This window comes from Homo sapiens, chromosome 11 (assembly GCF_000001405.40).
Source record: "Homo sapiens chromosome 11, GRCh38.p14 Primary Assembly".
In the NCBI taxonomy this organism is placed as follows: Eukaryota; Metazoa; Chordata; class Mammalia; order Primates; family Hominidae; genus Homo; species Homo sapiens.
The window spans coordinates 34,677,509-34,700,175 of NC_000011.10; the positions used below are offsets into that span (position 1 = coordinate 34,677,509).

At 37.7% G+C, this 22,667-nt stretch overlaps 1 long non-coding RNA gene and 1 pseudogene across 1 annotated transcript in view, besides 4 other annotated features; both read left to right on the forward strand.

The window, feature by feature from the left end:
- Positions 1 to 22,667, forward strand: part of NDUFB8P3 (NADH:ubiquinone oxidoreductase subunit B8 pseudogene 3) — a 36,042-nt pseudogene that overhangs the window by 3,286 nt on the left and 10,089 nt on the right.
- Positions 2,657 to 3,856: an enhancer, noted in NCBI's record as "BRD4-independent group 4 enhancer chr11:34701712-34702911 (GRCh37/hg19 assembly coordinates)". NCBI's record gives its function as "activates an origin of replication core promoter dependent on BRD2, P300/CBP, MED14 and CDK7 cofactors, and independent of BRD4, by STARR-seq in HCT116 cells {active_cell/tissue: HCT116}" and the evidence as "EXISTENCE:reporter gene assay evidence [ECO:0000049][PMID:35650434]".
- Positions 7,212 to 8,411: an enhancer, noted in NCBI's record as "P300/CBP strongly-dependent group 1 enhancer chr11:34706267-34707466 (GRCh37/hg19 assembly coordinates)". NCBI's record gives its function as "activates an origin of replication core promoter dependent on BRD2, BRD4, P300/CBP, MED14 and CDK7 cofactors, with strong dependence on P300/CBP, by STARR-seq in HCT116 cells {active_cell/tissue: HCT116}" and the evidence as "EXISTENCE:reporter gene assay evidence [ECO:0000049][PMID:35650434]".
- Positions 7,882 to 8,051: an enhancer, noted in NCBI's record as "active region_4607". NCBI's record gives its function as "activates an Ori minimal core promoter by ATAC-STARR-seq in GM12878 lymphoblastoid cells {active_cell/tissue: GM12878}" and the evidence as "EXISTENCE:reporter gene assay evidence [ECO:0000049][PMID:35858748]".
- Positions 14,426 to 15,069: an enhancer, noted in NCBI's record as "NANOG-H3K27ac-H3K4me1 hESC enhancer chr11:34713481-34714124 (GRCh37/hg19 assembly coordinates)". NCBI's record gives its function as "activates a minimal SCP1, AML or CMV promoter by ChIP-STARR-seq in naive H9 embryonic stem cells {active_cell/tissue: H9 hESC(naive)}" and the evidence as "EXISTENCE:reporter gene assay evidence [ECO:0000049][PMID:30033119]".
- The window catches only part of LOC102723568 (uncharacterized), a 185,086-nt gene continuing 177,504 nt past the window's right edge, over positions 15,086 to 22,667 (forward strand). The window contains exon 1 of the long non-coding RNA XR_007062652.1: positions 15,086 to 15,381. This is a non-coding gene — a long non-coding RNA (uncharacterized LOC102723568). The remainder of the gene's footprint in view (positions 15,382 to 22,667) is intronic.

Consider the following 22,667-nt stretch of genomic DNA (forward strand, 5'->3'; position numbering starts at 1 on the left):
TAGTGATCTTGGGAGTGAATTCTGCAGCCCTGATGGGCCTTCTTATGACAGGAGCCCCAGCTAACAGCTTGACTGTGACTTCATGGGAGACACTGAGCCAGACCTATCCAGCTAAGCAGCTCCCAGATGCCTGATCCTTAGAAACTGTGTGAGAAAATAAATGCTTGTTATTTTAAGATGCTAAGTTTTGGGATAATTTGTTGTGCAGTAATAGATGCTATTAATAACATACTCATTATAGGGGCTTGATAAATATTTTTGGAATAATTTAATGCACATATATTTGGTTTTTCATCCTAAGTTCAAGATATTCAGTAACTTTCCCAAGATCCCACACTTGTCTCTTCCTTGTTAATGAGCCTCAGTCTTTGATATGGTTTGGCTATGTCCACACCCAAATCTCATCTTGAATTGTAGCTCCCATAATTCCCACGTGTCATGGGAGGGACCTAGTGGGAGGTAATTGAATCATGGGGATGGGTCTTCCCATGCTGACCAATAGCATGATATCGGACAGCATGGGAAAGACATGATAGCAAATAAGTCTCAGTGATAGAGAATAAGTCTCAAGAGATCTGATGATATTACACAGGGGAGTTCCCCTGCACATGCCCTCTTTGCCTGCTGCCATGTAAGAAGTCCCTTTGTTCTTCCTGCATCTTCTGCCATGATTGTGAGGCATCCCCGGTCACATGGAACTGTGAGTCCATTAAACCTCTTTCCTTTATAAATTACCCAGTCTCGGGTATGTCTTTATCAGCGGCATGAGAACGACTAATACAGTCTTAATGTTTGATCTGCCTTGATCTTAATGTTTCCCCAGTTCTTTCTCCTCCCCACATCCTGCCTTCAGCCAGAAGGGGCAGGAGCATTAGCCTCTGGGCTCCCTGACTTGGTTTGGTCCCTCTTCACCAGCAATGACTGGGCCTATTTTCCTTAAGAGACAATAATCCTGGCTTATTATGTATCCAGAAGCTATGGGAACATTTGTTTCCCTTCTGAGCCTGTTTTATCTATAAATTTCAATATATTAGCTAAGAAAGCTTATATCTGAGACCTGGAGGGAAGTGCCCTTTTAAAAGCTATTGCATTCTGATCCTCGTATTTCTTTCCAGAGACAAGGTTAGGGGTGGAAAATGCACTCATGGTAGAAAAGAAAGGCTTTTCAAGTCATCCTGTTATACCAGGAGTGGGAAAATCAAGGCAGAGGCTGATAAATGAATCTCAGGGTCAAACCAGATCCAGAAAAAACAGAGTCTAAGTCCTGAGCTGTTGAGACCTTAGACAAAGCTTGCCCCATATGAGAAACTTGTAGTATTTTTCTGGCTCTAACAGGAACCAGCACAGGGACTCCCAAGATTGAGGACACCAAGCTGCTGCGGTGTCCTAATTTACCACACTGAGAAGAGTTTGAAATTTTTCCCTCTGTGTGTGTGTGTGCACGCGTGTGTGTGTTTGTGACTGTTAGGTACACTAGCCCCCAAGGCAGGTAGTAGGTCATATTGCTTATTCCATCCCAGTACCACACGCTTCTGGGCATACAGTAAATGTTGAATCAAGGCAAGGATGTGCACGTTTAAGCCTCTGTAATTGTGTTTGCTTATCTTAAGGCATTCTTTCTTTATTCATTTTAACCCTTAAAAAGTTTCTTCTTCTTTCTACAAAAACAAAACAAACCAGAAAGACAAAACAAAAACCAAAATTGGTGACCTCATGCCTTATAGTTGTTCCTGTCTTCTGAGTGGCATTTGCTGTCTGAAGATATTTTCATCTATTACTGCATTTTTTTTTCTCCTCTTAGGTTTAGATCAGAGCTTATTTTTCAATAAGACGTGTTCAGAAAAGCTATCTTCCTTTACCAAATTGCACACTTCACAAAAGACAGAGATGAGATTTGAACCTTGGGCTGTCTGACTTTAAAGCCCCATGTCCGCTCCACTACCCAGGCTGTCTCTGTGCACATGCTGAGGCCACAGTCCTTTAGTCTCCAAGTGCTTGGCCACCCCTCTAGAATAAGGAGGTGATGCCTGGCTTCTCAAAAGGGATGAGGCTCTGGGCTTCCCACTCATTTTCAACAGAGTGCTTCCACTGTGGCTTTACATTTTGAGCTTTCCTATATAATTTCATTGGAACAAAACATTCCAAAGCAAGATGACACCAAATCAAACTGGAACAAACAAACAAGTCCACTGACTTTTGGTGATTAGGTGACCTCTAAGCTCCCTACTATAAAAGCTCACTCCAATGTCTTTCTTTCTGAGCCAATGTCTTCCATCTCAGGCTCCTGGCAATGAAGAGTGAGCATGGAGCCAGACCTCCTTTGGTATAATACAGCATCCGCTTCCCTCCAGCTGGGCTCAGCTGCAGGGCTTGTGCCCATGGGAGGTTTCTGGGGAAAGGACAAACCAAGGCAACATTAAACCAAGAATGTTCAGCATGTCACAACTTTCACAAGCAGGACTGTGAGCCAGTATATCCTAATGGCTAAAAGCACAGGCTTTGGCTTTAAACATATATGGGTTATATGTTGACTGCTTTCTAGATTTTTGACCTTGGGCAAGTTCCTTTATCCACCTAAGCCTCAGCATCACCATTGGTAAAATAGAGATAGTAATGCCCATTTCATAAAGTTGTTACAAAGATGAAATGAGCCTATATATGTAAAGCACAGGCAGCTACCATTTGTTGAGCACTTACTAGAAGCCAGGAGCTCTGCTAAGTGTTTTATATACATTGCCTTAGTGCATCTTCACAACAAACCTACGAGGTGGGCATGTTTGGCCTGTAACTGGATACAAAGGAAACAGTCAGTAAGTGGGAGTTTTCATTATTATAGTTATTGTTGTTACAATGACATGGTGTTGGGTCAGCCATGAGTGATGACTACAGTGAGCATCCACATGCAATGATGCTGGGTTGGACCCTCCCACATGCTGCCTTCACCTGGTTCTCCAGCTGGGGAGGATGATGTCACTCCACAGAGCTAAGAGATTTCTCAGCAAGTGTTTTCTGTAGAGATTTCTCCTCTCTTGGCTCCCCTCCTCAATGTCAGTCCCAACTGCCTGCTCTACCATCTGGCATTGGTAGGTGAGATGGTAAAAAGAATTTTCAGAAAATATATTATGTTTCAAGTCTGAAATCTAAAGTTCCAGGTTTTTCACTTTCAGACAGAGAAAGGATGACTGTCATTCACCATTCATTGATGTGTGATACCTTTGGGGGAATCGTAGTGTCTCTCTAAGCCTACATTTCTACACCTGGAAAAACGGAAAGAAAATGAATAAGGAATGAAACATTTAGTGAGCATCTACTACATATCAGGAGCTCAATGTAAGTTGTCTCAATTATTCATCTCAACATGCTATAATTATTGTCCCTGTTTTATAAATGATGAAAACTTAGGCTCAGGCAGGTTGAGGCTCACCCAAGATCTCATGGCCATTAAGTGACAGAAGCGGAACTTGAATGCAAGTTTTCTGAAACATGTTCTCCACCACATCAACCAACAATTTGAAAGGCTGTCCTAGAGCCGCCTCCCATCCCTCCTTCTGAGTATGTGGAAGGACACAATCTCCTCTTTGCTTCGGCCTTTTCATAGGTAAACATCCCTTTGTAAACTACCCATTATGGGGGAACAGATGCCTGCTATCTTCTAGTGGAGTTTCAAAGGCCCGAATACCTCCACCTGCAGCCAACACAGCACATTTTGCAGGTACTTTGCAGTAATATGAGCCTCTGGTTATTTCCTGAGATGGATTCTTTAATTTTCATGCTTAAACACAAATATAGCTTTGGTCCCTGTAAACAAACACAGTGACAAAGCTACATGACTCACCTACCAGTCATTTCCAGTGGCTTTCCAAAGCATGGGCATGGCATGGTACTGACCACGCATTCTGTCTCCCTGGAAACTGGTTCTTAGGACATGCCTGAGAAAATTAGTTCACTTGTCAGCCACCTGCACTGTGCCATTCTGTTAAGGTAGATTAAGGAGGTGAGGAATGAGGTCTGAGAGCAAGGGGAATCATGGCTTTGCTTGGAAAGAAAGAAGTCTCTTTTGGGCTAGGAGCAATCAATCATTTGACAATCAATTGATTTAGAGTGTGTTGAGAGCCAGGTGCCTGGAATATAAAAAGAGATGAGTTCAGGGAGCCTGGAGGCAAAACCAAGGTTGGAACATGTTTCCTGACCAGCACAAGCGGTAGAGTATTTAACATTATTGACTATTTAGGAAAATCTGGACTTTCACCATAAGCTTAAGACATGGTACCCTGTCATTAATCTTACAATCTTTTGGTAAAGGAAAATGAAGTTGTTGGGATTGAAAAACCTCTCCTTCTAAATCTCCTTTCCCAAATATGGGCCACTTAGAATTCTACCTTGAGTTTTTTGTCTTTTGCTTAAAGTTTTGATCATTATTAACATGTAAATATCCTGGGAAAAAATAACTGATGTGATCAGGGATAGGCTTCACCCATCATACTATTTCAAAAGAAGGAAAGAGCTAAACTAATGTGTTGAGAGGGACTCTCAGGTAGGACTCTGTGAGAGAGATCTGTCCTTGGGCTGGAATGAGAAGTGGTAGGATGGATGTTTTACAGGCACATTTATTTACCTTACAGTGGGGTGCATTAGTTTACTCATTCAATAGTGGTATTTGGGTATAAAAGAAGGATCTAGGAGTAAGTCATAAAAATACATATTTCTCATTAAAATTAATATTATAGAGAAGTTAGGAAACGAGAAAAAAATAAATATAAAATAGAAAAATATCGATAGTTTTACCTCTCAAGTATATATTTTATGTCTTAACATATGTGCTAACAATTTTGTATATTTCTTTCCAGCCCTTGTTCTATGCATTACTTTTTTAAAACGTAGTTGAGATTAAATTACAGCATAATTTTGTATCCTGTCTTTTCATTATCATTATACCCTAAGCACTTTGCATATTACTATAAACTTTAATATTAAAATAGCTAATATATTTTAAGTATTGATAATCAGTATGTGCTAGACACCATGCTAAACACTATATGAGATCCACTATCCCATTTAATCTCCACATAAATTAGTAGGTACTATTACTGTTTTTATATTACAAAGGCTAACACTGAGGCTTAGAAAAGTTAGTTCATTTGTTCACAGCCACACAGCTAAAAGTGGAACAGTTGGGATGTAAATCCAGGCTTGCCAGGCTGCTAAACATGTATTACTATTTTTTCAAGGATGATATTATGTGATAGTTTAATTGAAAGTGTTTTTTCTTACTTAATGATACATGAAATATGGAGGATCTTACAATTAATGGCACCTTAGCATAAATGAAACTTAGTTGTATTAATCTAGGATTACTTTTTATACCTCTACAAATCTCTATGCCTTTACCCAATCAGTTTTGAAAACATATTTTATTTTCTTTTTTTTCTCCATGCGTGACCTGCTATTGTCAATGGCCATTTGGAATTCCCAAAGGATTGGTAGAGGTATGCAGTTGGGATAAAGCATTGAGGATACCAACCAAATGACTCACCAGGGAAAACCTGAGCTCTGCTCTTAAATCTGTCTGTATTCCTGGCCAAGATGCCTCATCTCCTCCTTAGTGCTCTCAGTCTTCTTCTACTTTAATGTTATTTTTAATGACCATATAATTTTCTTTCAAGTGGGAAAAATGATGGGCTTGATTGTTCTCCTATTCGTGGCATTTCTTTTATTTCAATATATTCACTATATAAATAAGGTAGGAGCAAGCATTAAAACATGGTGGGTGAGAAACTCTAGAGATGGAGGGAAAAAGAACATAGGAATTATTTATTTTCTCTGGGTACTGTGCTCTTCTACAGGGTGTTCATAAAGGCTAGAAACATAGAAAAATATATATAACAAATGTTTTATTGATATTACAGACAATAGGCGATGTGTTCAAAGTGCTATCTCTCATTATCAATGTGTGGTTCAATTTGCTGATGAAAATTGCAAAAAACTAGGTACTCTTAATGCATTTCCATAAATCTGTACAGATGCATCTAGGATGCATTGTCTCAGACAATTTATGCCTAGATTTTTCCATTGTGTAAACTGTGCCATTAACATACCCCCAGAGGAAGAATTATAATGAGTTCAGTCTTTGCAAAAGTAGATGTTGGTCACTCTACATTATGTTGTAATACACTCTGTGTTATGGCTTTTTTATCACAGTTTGCCTGGCTTACTACAAACATCTGTATATTGGACATCTCTTTACCAGACACCATAATTCCTTATATATATGAGATATATATATATATATAATATATATATATAAAATTTATTTGACATGTGTAGTATATTTTTCTCCATGAGATAATGAGCACTTACAGGGCAAGAATATTCTCAGCTGCAGAGGTGATCACACTCCACAATTTATGAAACATAATTATTATTAGGCCCTGAAGCATTTCTTTTTAAATTTTACATGTTTATGTACTGTCTTTTATTTTCCTACTCACTCCAGTTTCCATGCCTCTTACCATGGGTGACCATTCTGTTTAATGTGTTTGTTGTACATGGTCTCCTGTGGGGTTGGGTAAAGAATTCGTTGGGATGTACACCTGGAATCTTTGGGTCCTAACTCCCACCCACAGTAATGAACTTTCTTGTGGCATCTCATCCTCATCAACACTTCCACTGTCCAGCTTGGGATTGTTGTTGGTTCAGAAGGTAGAAAGTGATATCTCCTTGTTTTAAATTACTTTTCTCTAAACACGGTGACTATAGTTAATAACAATGTATTGTGTACTTGAAAATTGCTAAGAGAGTGGATTTTAAGTGTTCTTACCACAAAAAATGGTATGTGGAGCTAATATATGGTAACTAGCTGAGTTTAGCCATTCCACAAATCTATACATATTTCAAAACATCATTTTGTACACCATACATATATATACTTTTTATTTATCAATTGAAAACATTACATTTAAAAACAGCTTTCCTCTGACTACTAGTAATTTTGAATGACTTTAATATACTAAGTAATCTTCTGTGTTTCCTCTTCTTCAAATTGTCTTTTCATACCCTCTATTTTCTTATTGGGGCTATTGTATTTGGGGAAATTTATTGAATTTGTTTGAATATTTTAGATATTGGTTTTAGAGATTACAAATATCTTCTGAGGTGCTCTCTCACTTTCCTTTTAAATACTGTCATTCCCCTATTTTTTTTTCATGATGTCCTTCAATGAACAAAAATCCACAGTTTTGTTATAGTCAAATCTTTCAAGGGTTTTTTTTCATTGCCATTGGGTTTGTGCTCTGGAAGTTTTATTGATGCTCTCTCTTTCCCTGCCACAAGCCCCTAGGTCACAAAAATATTCTACATTTTCTTCTAATTATTTTAGTTTTATAGCTCACATTTAGGCCTTTAATTAATCTAGAATCTATCCTTGTTTAAGGAGTTCAATGAGGATTTCATTAATTTCAGTTTTCTAGTTTCTCAATATTTATTAAACAAAGTGTCTCTCAATGAATGCGTAATCTATTATCTATTTGTCCGACACTAATTTTTTCTCTTCTGTTGGCTAATTTGTTTTTGAAACATTACCACACTGTTTTCATTATCAGTCTCTAATATGTCTTAAAGTTAATGTTGTCTTGGTAATTTGTGAACCAATATAAATTTTAGATGATCAAGTTCCTTGAAAACAATCCAGCTGGAATTTTAGTTGGTATTGCCTTGATTTTACAGGTCCTTACCTGAAGCCCAAGGTGATTTTTGGCCGCTGGCGACCTTGTGACCGTTGGCAGTGGGTCAGATGTGGCACTCAGAATTAGGGGAAGGATTGGTGATGCCAGAACATCTGGTGAAGCCGGCACTTCAAGGCACTCCTCAAGCCTGGAAAGCCTCACCAATAGGTATGACTCATGGTTTCGTGAAAAGCTGCTGATCTCATTAGTTTCAGAAATGATTGCATGGCTGGGCAGGGACTCTCGGGTAGATGCAGCGCTGACTGGGTGCCCCCGGGAAGAATACCTCGCATTTCTCCTGAGGTGGTGAAATAGGCGGAAACTGGTTCCCATCCAAATCCTGGAAACCACCATGGGTGAGGTCATGTCCACACATGTCAAGGCCTTGATGAGATAGTTATCTGCATAGTCCAGAAAAATCACTTTTCCACCAAACATTCTAAATGATTGATGGAGAAACAAATTTTCCAATTACGCTAACTTTCATTGTTATTACTAAAGAATTAAGTGCTACACCACACACACACACACACACACACACACACACACAGTCACACAATATTCAGATAAAAAGAAAGCCTAATTATTTTATATTCAGAAAAAAATGAATTGGCCTTTCTGAACAACCACAACGATGAAAAAGGAAAAGAAATCTGTTAAAACTTTAATTTTAGTTTTCCTTTTAGATTTTAAAATAATTGTGAAATATTTCAAACATAGAAAATATATAGAGTTTTTCTTTCTTTTTGGGAAACAGAGTTACAATGAAAGATACAATTGGAGACCACAGGGTACCATTGCGCCGGTCCTATTCTTCTGCTTCTCTTCTGAGTACTCATGCTTATTTTATACTTTTACTATCTATGTATGCATCCCTAAACTGTAAATAGCAAAATTTTGCACATTTTAAGATTTTATCTGAATGGTCCTATGTCTGTATCATTCTGCAGTGTGTGTTTTATCAATATTAGTATTTGTTGTTCTCTCAATTTGAAGTTTTCCACATTTATTTTAAGTGTTCCATTAAACATATTCCATTCCAGAAAATATATTGAAATTTATTCATTTCTATTGATAGATATTTAAATCATTTCCAAATGTTTGCTCCCAGGAAAACAGCTGCAATGGACATTATTACACATGTTTCCTCATGCACAAGAGTTAGAGTTTCTCTAAAACACTATTTTGGAGAGAGTATGAGCATCTTCAGAGTTCCTAGATAATGCCAAATTGTTTTTCAAAGTAATAGTATTAATTTACCCTCCTACCAGCATATCCTTACCAACACTTGGCATTGCCAAACTTTTGAATTTTCATAAATTTGATGGATGTGAAATGTTTTCTCATTAGTGTTATAATTTGCATTCTGCAGATATTAATGAGTTTGAGCACATTTTCATATATTTATTGTCTTCTCAGGTTTTCTTTCCTGTGAATTGCCTGTTTATATTTATTTATTTATTTCTGACCTGGGGGATGCTATAAACTGAATTCTGTGCCCCACTCCCTACCCAGTTCCCTACCCAGTTTCGTATGTTGAAGCTTTAACCCTTAATGTGATCGTATTTGGAGATGGGGTGTTTGGAAGTTTAATGTATTTATTTAAATTTTTTATTTCCATAGGTTATTGGTGAACAGGTGGTGTTTAGTTACATGAGTAAGCTCTTTAGTGGTGATTTGTGAGATTTTGATGCGCCCATCATCCGAGCGGTGTACACTGCCCCAATCTGTAGTCTTTTTTTTTTTTTAATTATACTTTAAGTTTTAGGGTACATGTGCACATTGTGCAGGTTAGTTACATATGTATACATGTGCCATGCTGGTGCACTGCACCCACTAACTCGTCATCTAGCATTAGGTATATCTCCCAATGCTATCCCTCCCCCCTCCCCCCACCCCACAACAGTCCCCAGAGTGTGATATTCCCCTTCCTGTGTCCATGTGATCTCATTGTTCAATTCCCACCTATGAGTGAGAATATGCGGTGTTTGATTTTTTGTTCTTGGCGATAGTTTACTGAGAATGATGTTTTCCAATTTCATCCATGTCCCTACAAAGGACATGAACTCATCATTTTTTATGGCTGCATAGTATTCCATGGTGTATATGTGCCACATTTTCTTAATCCAGTCTATCATTGTTGGACATTTGGGTTGGTTCCAAGTCTTTGCTATTGTGAATAATGCCACAATAAACATATGTGTCCATGTGTCTTTACAGCAGCATGATTTATAGTCCTTTGGGTATATACCCAGTAATGGGATGGCTGGGTCAAATGGTATTTCTAGTTCTAGATCCCTGAGGAATCGCCACACTGACTTCCACAATGGTTGAACTAGTTTACAGTCCCACCAACAGTGTAAAAGTGTTCCTATTTCTCCACATCCTCTCCAGCACCTGTTGTTTCCTGACTTTTTAATGATTGCCATTCTAACTGGTGTGAGATGGTATCTCATTGTGGTTTTGATTTGCGTTTCTCTGATGGCCAGTGATGATGAGCATTTTTTCATGTGTTTTTTGGCTGCATAAATGTCTTCTTTTGAGAAGTGTCTGTTCATGTCCTTTGCCCACTTTTTGATGGGGTTGTTTGTTTTTTTCTTGTAAATTTGTTTGAGTTCATTGTAGATTCTGGATATTAGCCCTTTGTCAGATGAGTAGGTTGCGAAAATTTTCTCCCATTTTGTAGGTTGCCTGTTCACTCTGATGGTAGTTTGTTTTGCTGTGCAGAAGCTCTTTAGTTTAACTAGATCCCATTTGTCAATTTTGTCTTTTGTTGCCATTGCTTTTGGTGTTTCAGACATGAAGTCCTTGCCCATGCCTATGTCCTGAATGGCAATGCCTAGGTTTTCTTCTAGAGTTTTTATGGTTTTAGGTCTAACGTTTAAGTCTTTAATCCATCTTGAATTGATTTTTGTATAAGGTGTAAGGAAGGGATCCAGTTTCAGCTTTCTACATATGGCTAGCCAGTTTTCCCAGCACCATTTATTAAATAGGGAATCCTTTCCCCATTGCTTGCTTTTCTCAGGTTTGTCAAAGATCAGATAGTTGTAGATATGCGGCATTATTTCTGAGGGCTCTGTTCTGTTCCATTGGTCTATATCTCTGTTTTGGTACCAGTACCATGCTGTTTTGTTTACTGTAGCCTTGTAGTATAGTTTGAAGTCAGGTAGCGTGATGCCTCCAGCTTTGTTCTTTTGGCTTAGGATTGACTTGGCGATGCGGGCTCTTTTTTGGTTCCATATGAACTTTAAAGTAGTTTTTTCCAATTCTGTGAAGAAAGGCATTGGTAACTTGATGGGGATGGCATTGAATCTGTAAATTACCTTGGGCAGTATGGCCATTTTCACGATATTGATTCTTCCTACCCATGAGCATGGAATGTTCTTCCATTTGTTTGTATCCTCTTTTATTTCCTTGAGCAGTGGTTTGTAGTTCTCCTTGAAGAGGTCCTTCACATCCCTTGTAAATTGGATTCCTAGGTATTTTATTCTCTTTGAAGCAGTTGTGAATGGGAGTTCACTCATGATTTGGCTCTCTGTTTCTCTGTTGCTGGTGTATAAGAATGCTTGTGATTTTTGTCCATTGATTTTGTTTTCTGAGACTTTGCTGAAGTTGCTTATCAGCTGAAGGAGATTTTGGGCTGAGACAGTGGGGTTTTCTAGATATACAATCATGTCATCTGCAAACAGGGACAATTTGACTTCCTCTTTTCCTAATCGAATACCCTTTATTTCCTTCTCCTGCCTAATTGCCCTGGCCAGAACTTCCAACACTATGTTGAATAGGAGTGGTGAGAGAGGGCATCCCTGTCTTGTGCCAGTTTTCAAAGGGAATGCTTCCAGTTTTTGCCCATTCAGTATGATATTGGCTGTGGGTTTGTCATAGATAGCTCTTATTATTTTGAAATACGTCCCATCAATACCTAATTTATTGAGAGTTTTTAGCATGAAGGGTTGTTGAATTTTGTCAAAGGCTTTTTCTGCATCTATTGAGATAATTATGTGGTTTTTGTCTTTGGCTCTGTTTATATGCTGGATTACATTTATTGATTTGCATATATTGAACCAGCCTTGCATCCCAGGGATGAAGCCCACTTGATCATGATGGATAAGCTTTTTGATGTGCTGGTGGATTCATTTTGCCAGTATTTTATTGAGGATTTTTGCATCAATGTTCATCAAGGATATTGGTCTAAAATTCTCTTTTTTTTGTTGTGTCTCTGCCCGGCTTTGGTATCAGAATGATGCTGGCCTCATAAAATGAGTTAGGGAGGATTCCCTCTTTTTCTATTGATTGGAATAGTTTCAGAAGGAATGGTACCAGTTCCTCCTTGTACCTCTGGTAGAATTCAGCTGTGAATCCATCTGGTCCTGGACTCTTTTTTTTGGTAAGCTATTGATTATTACCACAATTTCAGATCCTGTTATTGGTCTATTCAGAGATTCAACTTCTTCCTGGTTTAGTCTTGGGAGAGCGTATGTGTCGAGGAATTTATCCATTTCTTCTAGATTTTCTAGTTTATTTGCATAGAGGTGTTTGTAGTATTCTCTGATGGTAGTTTGTATTTCTGTGGGATCGGTGGTGATATCCCCTTTATCATTTTTTATTGCGTCTATTAGATTCTTCTCTCTTTTTTTCTTTATTAGTCTTGCTAGCAGTCTATCAATTTTGTTGATCCTTTCAAAAAACCAGCTCCTGGATTCATTAATTTTTTGAAGGGTTTTTTGTGTCTCTATTTCCTTCAGTTCTGCTCTGATTTTAGTTATTTCTTGCCTTCTGCTAGCTTTTGAATGTGTTTGCTCTTGCTTTTCTAGTTCTTTTAATTGTGATGTTAGGGTGTCAATTTTGGATCTTTCCTGCTTTATCTTGTGGGCATTTAGTGCTATAAATTTCCCTCTACACACTGCTTTGAATGCATCCCAGAGATTCTGGTATGTTGTGTCTTTGTTCTCATTGGTTTCAAAGAACATCTTTATTTCTGCCTTCATTTCGTTATGTACCCAGTAGTCATTCAGGAGCAGGTTGTTCAGTTTCCATGTAGTTGAGCAGTTTTGAGTGAGATTCTTAATCCCGAGTTCTAGTTTGATTGCACTGTGGTCTGAGAGAGAGTTTGTTATAATTTCTGTTCTTTTACATTTGCTGAGGAGAGCTTTACTTCCAAGTATGTGGTCAATTTTGGAATAGGTGTGGTGCTGAAAGAAATGTATATTCTGTTGATTTGGGGTGGAGAGTTCTGTAGATGTCTATTAGGTCCGCTTGGTGCAGAGTTGAGTTCAATTCCTGGGTATCCTTGTTGACTTTCTGTGTCATTGATCTGTCTAATGTTGACAGTGGGGTGTTAAAGTCTCCCATTATTAATGTGTGGGAGTCTAAGTCTCTTTGTAGGTCACTCAGGACTTGCTTTATGAATCTTGGTGCTCCTGTATTGGGTGCATATATATTTAGGATAGTTAGCTCTTCTTGTTGAATTGATCCCTTTACCATTATGTAATGGCCTTCTTTGTCTCTTTTGATCTTTGTTGGTTTAAAGTCTGTTTTATCAGAGACTAGTATTGCAACCCCTGCCTTTTTTTGTTTTCCATTTGCTTGGTAGATCTTCAAGGAGAACTACAAACCACTGCTCAAGGAAATAAAAGAGGATACAAACAAATGGAAGAACATTCCATGCTCATGGGTAGGAAGAATCAATATCATGAAAATGGCCATACTGCCCAAGGTAATTTACAGATTCAATGCCATCCCCATCAAGTTACCAATGCCTTTCTTCACAGAATTGGAAAAAACTACTTTAAAGTTCATATGGAACCAAAAAAGAGCCCGCATCGCCAAGTCAATCCTAAGCCAAAAGAACAAAGCTGGAGGCATCACGCTACCTGACTTCAAACTATACTACAAGGCTACAGTAACCAAAACAGCATGGTACTGGTACCAAAACAGAGATATAGACCAATGGAACAGAACAGAGCCCTCAGAAATAATGCCGCATATCTACAACTATCTGATCTTTGACAAACCTGAGAAAAACAAGCAATGGGGAAAGGATTCCCTATTTAATAAATGGTGCTTGGAGTTGCTCTTCTCGAGGCGTATCTTTGTGGCGTTCTCTGTATTTCCTGAATCTGAACGTTGGTCTGCCTTGCTAGATTGGGGAAGTTCTCCTGGATAATATCCTGCAGAGTGTTTTCCAACTTGGTTCCATTCTCCTCATCACTTTCAGGTATACCAATCAGACGTAGATTTGGTCTTTTCACATAGTCCCATATTTCTTGGAGGCTTTGCTCATTTCTTTTTGTTCTTTTTTCTCTAAACTTCCCTTCTCGCTTCATTTCATTCATTTCATCTTCCATCGCTGATACCCTTTCTTCCAGTTGATCGCATAGGCTCCTGAGGCTTCTGCATTCTTCACGTAGTTCTCGAGCCTTGGTTTTCAGCTCCATCAGCTCCTTTAAGCACTTCTCTGTATTGGTTATTCTAGTTATACATTCTTCTAAATGTTTTTCAAAGTTTTCAACTTCTTTGCCTTTGGTTTGAATGTCCTCCCGTAGCTCAGAGTAATTTGATCGTCTGAAGCCTTCTTCTCTCAGCTCGTCAAAGTCATTCTCCATCCAGCTTTGTTCCGTTGCTGGTGAGGAACTGCATTCCTTTGGAGGAAGAGAGGTGCTCTGCTTTCTAGAGTTTCCAGTTTTTCTGTTCTGTTTTTTTCCCATCTTTGTGGTTTTATCTACTTTTGGTCTTTGATGATGGTGATGTACAGATGGGTTTTTGGTGTGGATGTCCTTTCTGTTTGTTAGTTTTCCTTCTAACAGACAGGACCCTTAGCTGCAGGTCTGTTGGAATACCCTGCCCTGTGAGGTGTCAGTGTGCCCTTGCTGGGGGGTGCCTCCCCGTTAGGCTGCTCAGGGGTCAGGGGTCAGGGACCCACTTGAGGAGGCAGTCTGCCCATTCTCAGATCTCCAGCTGCGTGCTGGGAGAACCACTGCTCTCTTCAAAGCTGTCAGACGGGACATTTAAGTCTGCAGAGGTTACTGCTGTCTTTTTGTTTGTCTGTGCCCTGCCCCCAGAGGTGGAGCCTACAGAGGCAGGCAGGCCTCCTTGAGCTGTGGTGGGCTCCGCCCAGTTCGAGCTTCCCAGCTGCTTTGTTTACCAAATCAAGCCTGGGCAATGGCGGGCGCCCCTCCCCCAGCCTCGCTGCCGCCTTGCAGTTTGATCTCAGACTGCTGTGCTAGCAATCAGCGAGACTCCGTGGGCGTAGGACCCTCCAAGACAGGTGTGGGATATAATCTCGTGGTGCGCCGTTTTTTAAGCCCGTCGGAAAAGCGCAGTATTCGGGTGGGAGTGACCCGATTTTCCAGGTGCCGTCCGTCACCCCTTTCTTTGACTCGGAAAGGGAACTCCCTGACCCCTTGTGCTTCCCAAGTGAGGCAGTGCCTCGCCCTGCTTCGGCTCGTGCACGGTTCGCGCACCCACTGACCTGCGCCCACTGTCTGGCACTCCCTAGTGAGATGAACCCAGTACCTCAGATGGAAATGCAGAAATCACCATCTTCTGCGTCGCTCACGCTGGGAGCTGTAGACCGGAGCTGTTCCTATTCGGCCATCTTGAATTGTAGGCATTTTTAAAAACAGACTCTGGAGATGAATCTTTTCTAGTTATATACTTTGTAAGTATCTATACCATAGATAACCTTTTATTTTGACTGAAATATCTTTTGTTGTGCAGAAGTTATTAATTTTGATGTATTTAACCTTAAATGTTTTCCTTTATGGCCTGTACTTATGTTGTGTTTAAGAAATAAATATTTTCTATGCTGAGGTCATACATACATGCTCCTCAGTTATAAAATTTTACAGTTTTTGCTTTTCACATTTAGATTTTTAATTCATCCAGAACCTTTTTGTGTATGGTGTTAATTTTAATTGTGCAGGGAGTTAATTTTAATTTCTGTCTTCTACATAAATAATCAACTCTCCCAAACTTTCACTAAATAATCTATTCATTCTGTTATACTTGATGACACCATATTCATCTATAGTGTATTTCCCCATATGGCTAGGTCTGTTTTTAGGCTCTTTATTTGGTTCTAATTATTCATTGATCTGTTCCTATGCCAGGTGCATATTTCATAATTCGTCCAGCTTTTTGTCTTCTATTCTTGGCCCTTTCTTCTCTTGCATGCTTTTTAGGATCAAATTGTGAAATTGAGTGAGAAACCCTACCAAAATTTTATTTGGAATTGCATTGATTTTAACAATTTAATTTGGGAATAATTAATGTCTTTAAGATTTTCTGTCTTCTCACATATAACTATGGCAAATATCTTCATTTATCTAGATCTTTCTTTTAATAATGTTTTATAATTTTCATCATGAAACTTTCACTTTTTTTTAGATTTATTCCTAAATGCTTTGCATATTTTTGCAGTTTTGTAAGTGGGAATTTTTTCTATTCCATTTTTCTAATTATTACTTATTTATGAGTAAACTACTAATTTTGATATGTTGACCTAATGTTCAAAAATCTTGCTAAGTTATTTTATTAGTTCTCATATATTTTAAAATGACTTTCAAGTTTTCTATGTAATTCAACCATATCTTCTAAAAATAAGAACAGATTTGACTTCAATTTTAAATTTATTTATTTTCTTGATTTGTGTGATTAACTTAGGTATCCAAGGCAGAGTTAAATAGAAGGGGCAATAAAGAATCATGGTCTTGTTCCTGACAAGACAATACTTCTAAAGCGTTCCATTTTAAGTGTGATGTTTGCTACAGGTGTTTAATAGATACTGCTTATTAATCTGATGAAGTTTACTTTTACTCCTAGTTTAATAAGAGGTTTTTATATTTAAATCATGAATGAATGGAGAATTATATTGGGTGCTTTTTCTGTACATATCGAGATAATATGCTGTTCTATCGTTGCATCTAATAGTTTAGATCATAACTGGTTAATTTCCTGATGTTGAACTATCCTTGTAGTCTTAAGATAAACTATTTGTGGTCATAATCTATTACTGTCGTTAAAATAGTTTTGGATTTAATATTTATTCTCCTGTATACTTATATCTAGTTTTTCTAGCACTATTTATTGAATAGGGTGTTCTTCCCCCCATGTTCTTGGTGTCTTTGTCAAAAATTAGTTGGCTGTAATTATGTGGATTTATTTCTGGATTCTCTATATTACTCCATTGGTCTGTGTGTCTATCTTTATACTCATGACATGCTGTTTTGGTTACTATAGCTGTGTAGTATATTTGAAGTCAGATAGTATGATACCTCTAGCTTTATTCTGTTAGTTCAGGATTGCTTTTTCTACTTGAGCTCTTTTGCTTTTCCATAATTTTGGATTTTTTTCTATTTTTGTCACTAATTTTATTGGTATTTTGATAGGGATTGCATTGAATTTGTAGACTGCTTTGGGTAGTATGGCCATTTTAACAATATTAATTCCTCTGACCCAGGAGCATGGTGTAGCTCTTCATTTTTTTGTGTCTTCTTCAATTTCTTTAGACAGTGTTTTGTAGTCTTACTACAAAAAGGATGCTTTTTACCTCCTTGGTTAAAATTATTCCTAGGTATTTTAATTTTTTGTAGCTATTATAAATGGAATTGCTTTTGCACACAGTTTGTTACTGGTGTATAGAAACATCATTGATTTTTGTATGTTAATTTTGTATCCTGCAACTTTACTGAGTTTATCAGTTCTAGGAAGTTTTTGGTAGAGCCTTTAGGTTTTTCTATATCATATCATCTGCAACATAGGACAATTTGACTTCTTCTTTCTTGATTAAAATTCCTTTTATTTCTTTCTCTTGCCTGATTGCTCTAGTTAGGACTTGTAACACAATGTTGAATAAGAGTGGTGAAAATGGGCAACCTTGTCTTACTCTAGTTCTTAGAGAAAAGGCTTTCAGCTTTTCCCCATTCAGTATGATGTTAGCTGTGGGTTTATCATATATGGCTTTTATTATGTTGATGTCTGTTTCTTCTATGCCTAATTTGTTTAGAGTTTTTATCATAAAAAGATGTTGATTTTATCAAATGCTTTTTCTGCGTATATTGAAATGATCAATATAAAAAGTGGTTTTTGTCCTTCATTCTGTTGATGTGATGTATCATGTTCATTGATTTGTGTAGGTCAAACCATCCTTTCATTCCTAGATAAATTCCACTTGATCATGGTATATTATCTTTTTGATGCCATTATGGATTTAATTTGCTAGTATTCTGTTGAGGATTTTTGCATTTATGTTCATTAGGAATATTGGCCTGTAGTTTTCCTTTTTTTGTTGTGCCCTTGTCTAGTTTTGGTATCAAGGTAATGTTGGCCTCATAGAATGAGTGTAGAAGAATTTCCTCCTTTTCAATTTTCTGGAAGAGCTTGAGAAGAATTGGCATTAGTTCTTCTTTATAAGTTTGGTAGATTTCAGCAGTAATGCCATCCAGGCCAGGGTTTTTCTTTGTTGAGAGAGTTTTTATTACTGATTCAATCTTATTCCCCATTATTGGTCTGTTCAGGCTTTCTGTTTCTTCCTGGTTAAATCTTGGTAGGTTGTATGTGTCCACTATTTATCCATTTCCTGTAGGTTTTTCAGTTTGTTAGTGTAGAGTTATTTATAATAATCTATGATGATCTTTTGTGTATTTGTAGTATCAGTTGTAATGTCTTCTTTTTCATTTCTGATTTTGTTTATTTGGGTCTTCTATTTTTCTTGGTGCCTTAGCTAGCAGTTTATCCTTTTAAAAAAACAACTTCATTTTATTAATATTTTGTATCTTTTTTAGTCTCTATTTCATTTTTCCTTTTGTCTTAGTTTCGAAGGGGTACATGTGCAGGTTTGTTACATGGGTAAATTGCACATCACAGCGGTTTGATGTGCAGATTATTTTGTCACTCAGGTAATGAGCATAGTACCCAACAGGTAGTTTTTCAACCCTCACCCTCCTCCCACCTTCCACCCTCAAGTAGGCTCTGGTGTCTATTGTTCCCTTCTTTGTGTTCATGTGTATGCAATGTCTAGCTCCCATTTACAAGTGAGAACACGCTGTATTTGGTTTTCTGTTCTGGCATTATTTTGCTTAGTATAATGGCTTCTGGTTCTATGCACATTGCTGCAAAGGGCATGATTTTGTTCTTTTTTATGGCTGCATAGGATCCCATTGTATATATGTATCACATTTTATTTATTCAGTTCACTGTTGATGGGCATTTAGGTTGATTCCATGTTTTTGCTATTGTGAATAGTGCTGCAATGAATATATGTGTGCATGTGTCTTTTTCGTAGAATGATTTCTATTCCCTTGGGTACATACCCAGAAACTTATTCTTTTTCATCCTCCTATTTTTCCTGTTTCATTTTCATTTTTGTTGCTTATTTATTTTTCTTCCTTGGATTTTTTTTTTTAGTTATTTGAGAGTCTTAAGAAAACTTATTTGAAAGTCTTTGTCAGATTGCTGCATAACATTAATTTTATTTGGAGTGAATCTGTGTCCTGATTGTTGGTTTTTTTGCTATCTTTGTTAGCATTTGATTTCTTTATGTGTAGTGGATTTTGGTATAAAATATCATTGTGTGCGAGTGTTTTATTGATTTATTTAGTGTTTTATTTTTATTCCTGTTACCTCACACACAAACCTCTGTGTTCACTCTGTTTTTTGTAGTTTTGTGATTGTTTCTGCCTGGATTTCCTAAGCCTTACCATTTAGAATCAAGTTTTGTAATGGCATTTTGGAGCTCCTGCTCCTACCATAAGTCAGGATATCACAGATAGAACCACCCACTGTAGCAGATGCTATTGCTGTTGGTGCCCCACCCAGCTGCTCTGGGTGTTGATTGCTAATAGATCACACTTGTATTCTTTTCTAAAAGATTATCTTTGACTGATAGAAGTTTTTTATCTTTTGTTTTCTGAAGGATTCACAACTTCACTTTGGGAGTTGGCATATGGCCAATGACTGACTGAAGCAAGAGTGTAAGAGCTTCTCCCTCCTTCTTCTGGACAAGACAATCTTTGACACATTTTAAATTTCAGAGCTCCCTGCGGGATCATGCTTTTCCTAAAATGATATGCCTAGCTGCTGCTTCTACACTGTTCTGCTTTCCTCACTCCATTATGGGTTTCTCCTGAAAGAACGCTTTCAGTAAATTGATCACCTCATCTCAGACTTCGCTTCTGGGGAAGTCAACCCAAAACAAACCTAAGGTGGCTTAGTTTATCTTTAGGTCACAAGCTCATGTCTGTTCTAGACACACAGGTCAGCCTCCTTTCATGATGACAGGGACTGAGAGAGAAGTCTCTTTTCAAGCAATGATGCAGACAATACTGTCTTACATGAAACTTTTCTACTCTCCTTAGCTCACAGTGGTGGACTCTCAGCTGTTACATGGTGCTTCAGGACACAGAGCTCTGTGCATGTTTGGTTTCAACCACTCTCATAACTTTACACTTATGTTCTTGGTAACTCTTGTTTCTTGACCTCAATTATATCTTTTTAATTATTTATTTTTACATAAAACATTGTTCTAGGTTTGGATCAGATAGTTGCATCAAACCTAGGGAAGTCACTGAGATTTTTTTCTATTTGTACACATTTATGAATTTTCTCCTCAAAGAGATTATGTAGCATGATACACTTTTTGTGGCCTGATATTTTCCTGTAGTTTTATTGTAAGTGTATTTCTCTCTCCCTTTTTTTTTGGAGATGGAATCTTGCACTGTCTCCTGGGCTGGAGTGCAATGGCGCGATCTCGGCTCACTGCAACCTCTGCCTCCCATATTCAAGCAATTCTCCTGCCTCAGCCTCCAAAGCAGCTGTGATTACACGTGCCCACCACCACGCCGGGCTAATTTTTTGTATTTTTAGTAGAGATGGGATTTCACTGTGCTGGCCAGGCTGGTCTCGAACTCCTGACATCGTGACCCACCTGCCTCGGCCTCCCAAAGTACTGGGATTACAGGTGTGAGCCACCACGCCTGGCCTTGTAAGTGTATTTCTGTGTCAATAGATGTATTTTCTGCAGCATTATTTTCTTTTCCTGGGATAAATCACATGTAGTCATAATGTGCTGTCTTTTTTATTTACTATTGGATTTAATTTGCTAGAATTTTTTGGAAGATTTTTGAGTCTATATTCATGAGATGTATTTATATGCTGCATTTTCTTTTCTTTTCGTAATGTCTCTGTTTTAAGAATGAGGGTAATATTGACTTCATATAAAGAATCAGGAGGTATTTTCTACTCATCTTTTTCTGAAAGAGTGTTTATGATTGACATAATTTTTTTTCTTATATGTTAGAATTTACCAATGAAACCATCTGGGCTCAGCATTTTCTTTGTGGAAATACATTAAATTATAAATTCAATTTATTAAATGGATAGAGGACTGTGAGGATTTAAAAATTTCTTCTTGAGGCATTTTTAATAATTTGTGTTTTTTTCAAGGAACTTGTACTTTTTAATCTAAGTTTAAAAAACTTACTCAGGAATGGAAAACTAAACATCATATATTCTTACTTATAAGTGGGAGCTAAGCTATGAGAGTGCTTAAGAATGATATAATGGACTATGGGGACTTGGGGGAAAGGGTGGGAGGGTGGTGAGGGATAAAAGACTACACATTGGGTGCAATGTACACTGCTTAGGTGATGGGTGCACCAAAATCTCAGAAATCACACCTAAAGAACTTATCCATGTAACCAAACACCACCTATTCTCCCAAAACTATTGAAATAATAATAAAAATAAAAATATATTAAAAATAGTCTGGGCACAGTGGCTCACACCTGCAATCCCAGCACTTCGGGAGGCTGGGGCAGGCTCATCTCTTTGTCTCAGGAATTCAAGACCAGCCTGAGCAACACGGTAAAACCCTGTCTCTACAAAAAATATGAAAAGTTAGCCAGGTTTCGTGGTAAGTGTCTGTGATCCCAGCTATTCAGGAGGATGAAGTAGGAGGGTTGCTTGAGCCCGGGAGGTGGAAATTGCAGTGAGCTAAGATTAGGCCACTGTACTCCATCCTGGGTGACAAAGCGAGACCCTCATCTCAAAAAAAAACCCCAAGTATATATATATGTAATATATAAAAAATATATATAATATATAAATATATTTATATATAATTTTTAAAAATCTTAAAAGATTAAATAAATCTATTAGTATACATTGGTTATTATATTTACTTGTTATAATTTAATATCTATAGGACTTGCAGTAATGTCTCATTTTGTATTCTTTTTATATACATTTTTGTGGGTACATAGTAAGTGTATATATTTGCAGGTTACATAAGATACTTTGATACAGGCATGTAATGTGTAATAATCACACTGTGGTAAATGGGGTATTTATCCTAATAAGCATTTATCCTTTGTGTTACAAACAAACCAGTTATAGTCTTTCAGTTATTTTAAAATGTACAATTAAATTATTATTGACTATAGTCCCCCTGATGTGCTATCAAATACTAGGTCTTATTCATTCTTTCTAACCACTTTTTTTTTTTGTATCCATTGACCACCCCTACTTCTTTCCCCAGCCCCCACGACCCTTCCCAGACTTTAGTGACCATCGTTCTATTCTCTGCCTCCATGAGTTCAATTGTTTTTTATTTTTAGACCCAACAAATAAATGAGAACATATAAAGTTTGTCTTGCTGTGCTTGGCTTATTTCACTTAATGTAATGACTTCCAGTTCCACCCATGTTGCAATGACAAGATCACATTCTTTTAATGGCTGAATAATACTCCATTGTGTATATGCAGCACATTTCCTTTATCCATTCATCTGTCGATGGACACTTAGGTTGCTTCCAAATCTTGGCTACTATGAACAGTGTTGCAACAAACATGGTGGTGCAGATATCCCTTCCCTATACTGATTTCCTTTCTTCTAGATATATACTTAGCAGTGGGATTGCTGGATCATATGGCAGCTCTATTTTTAGA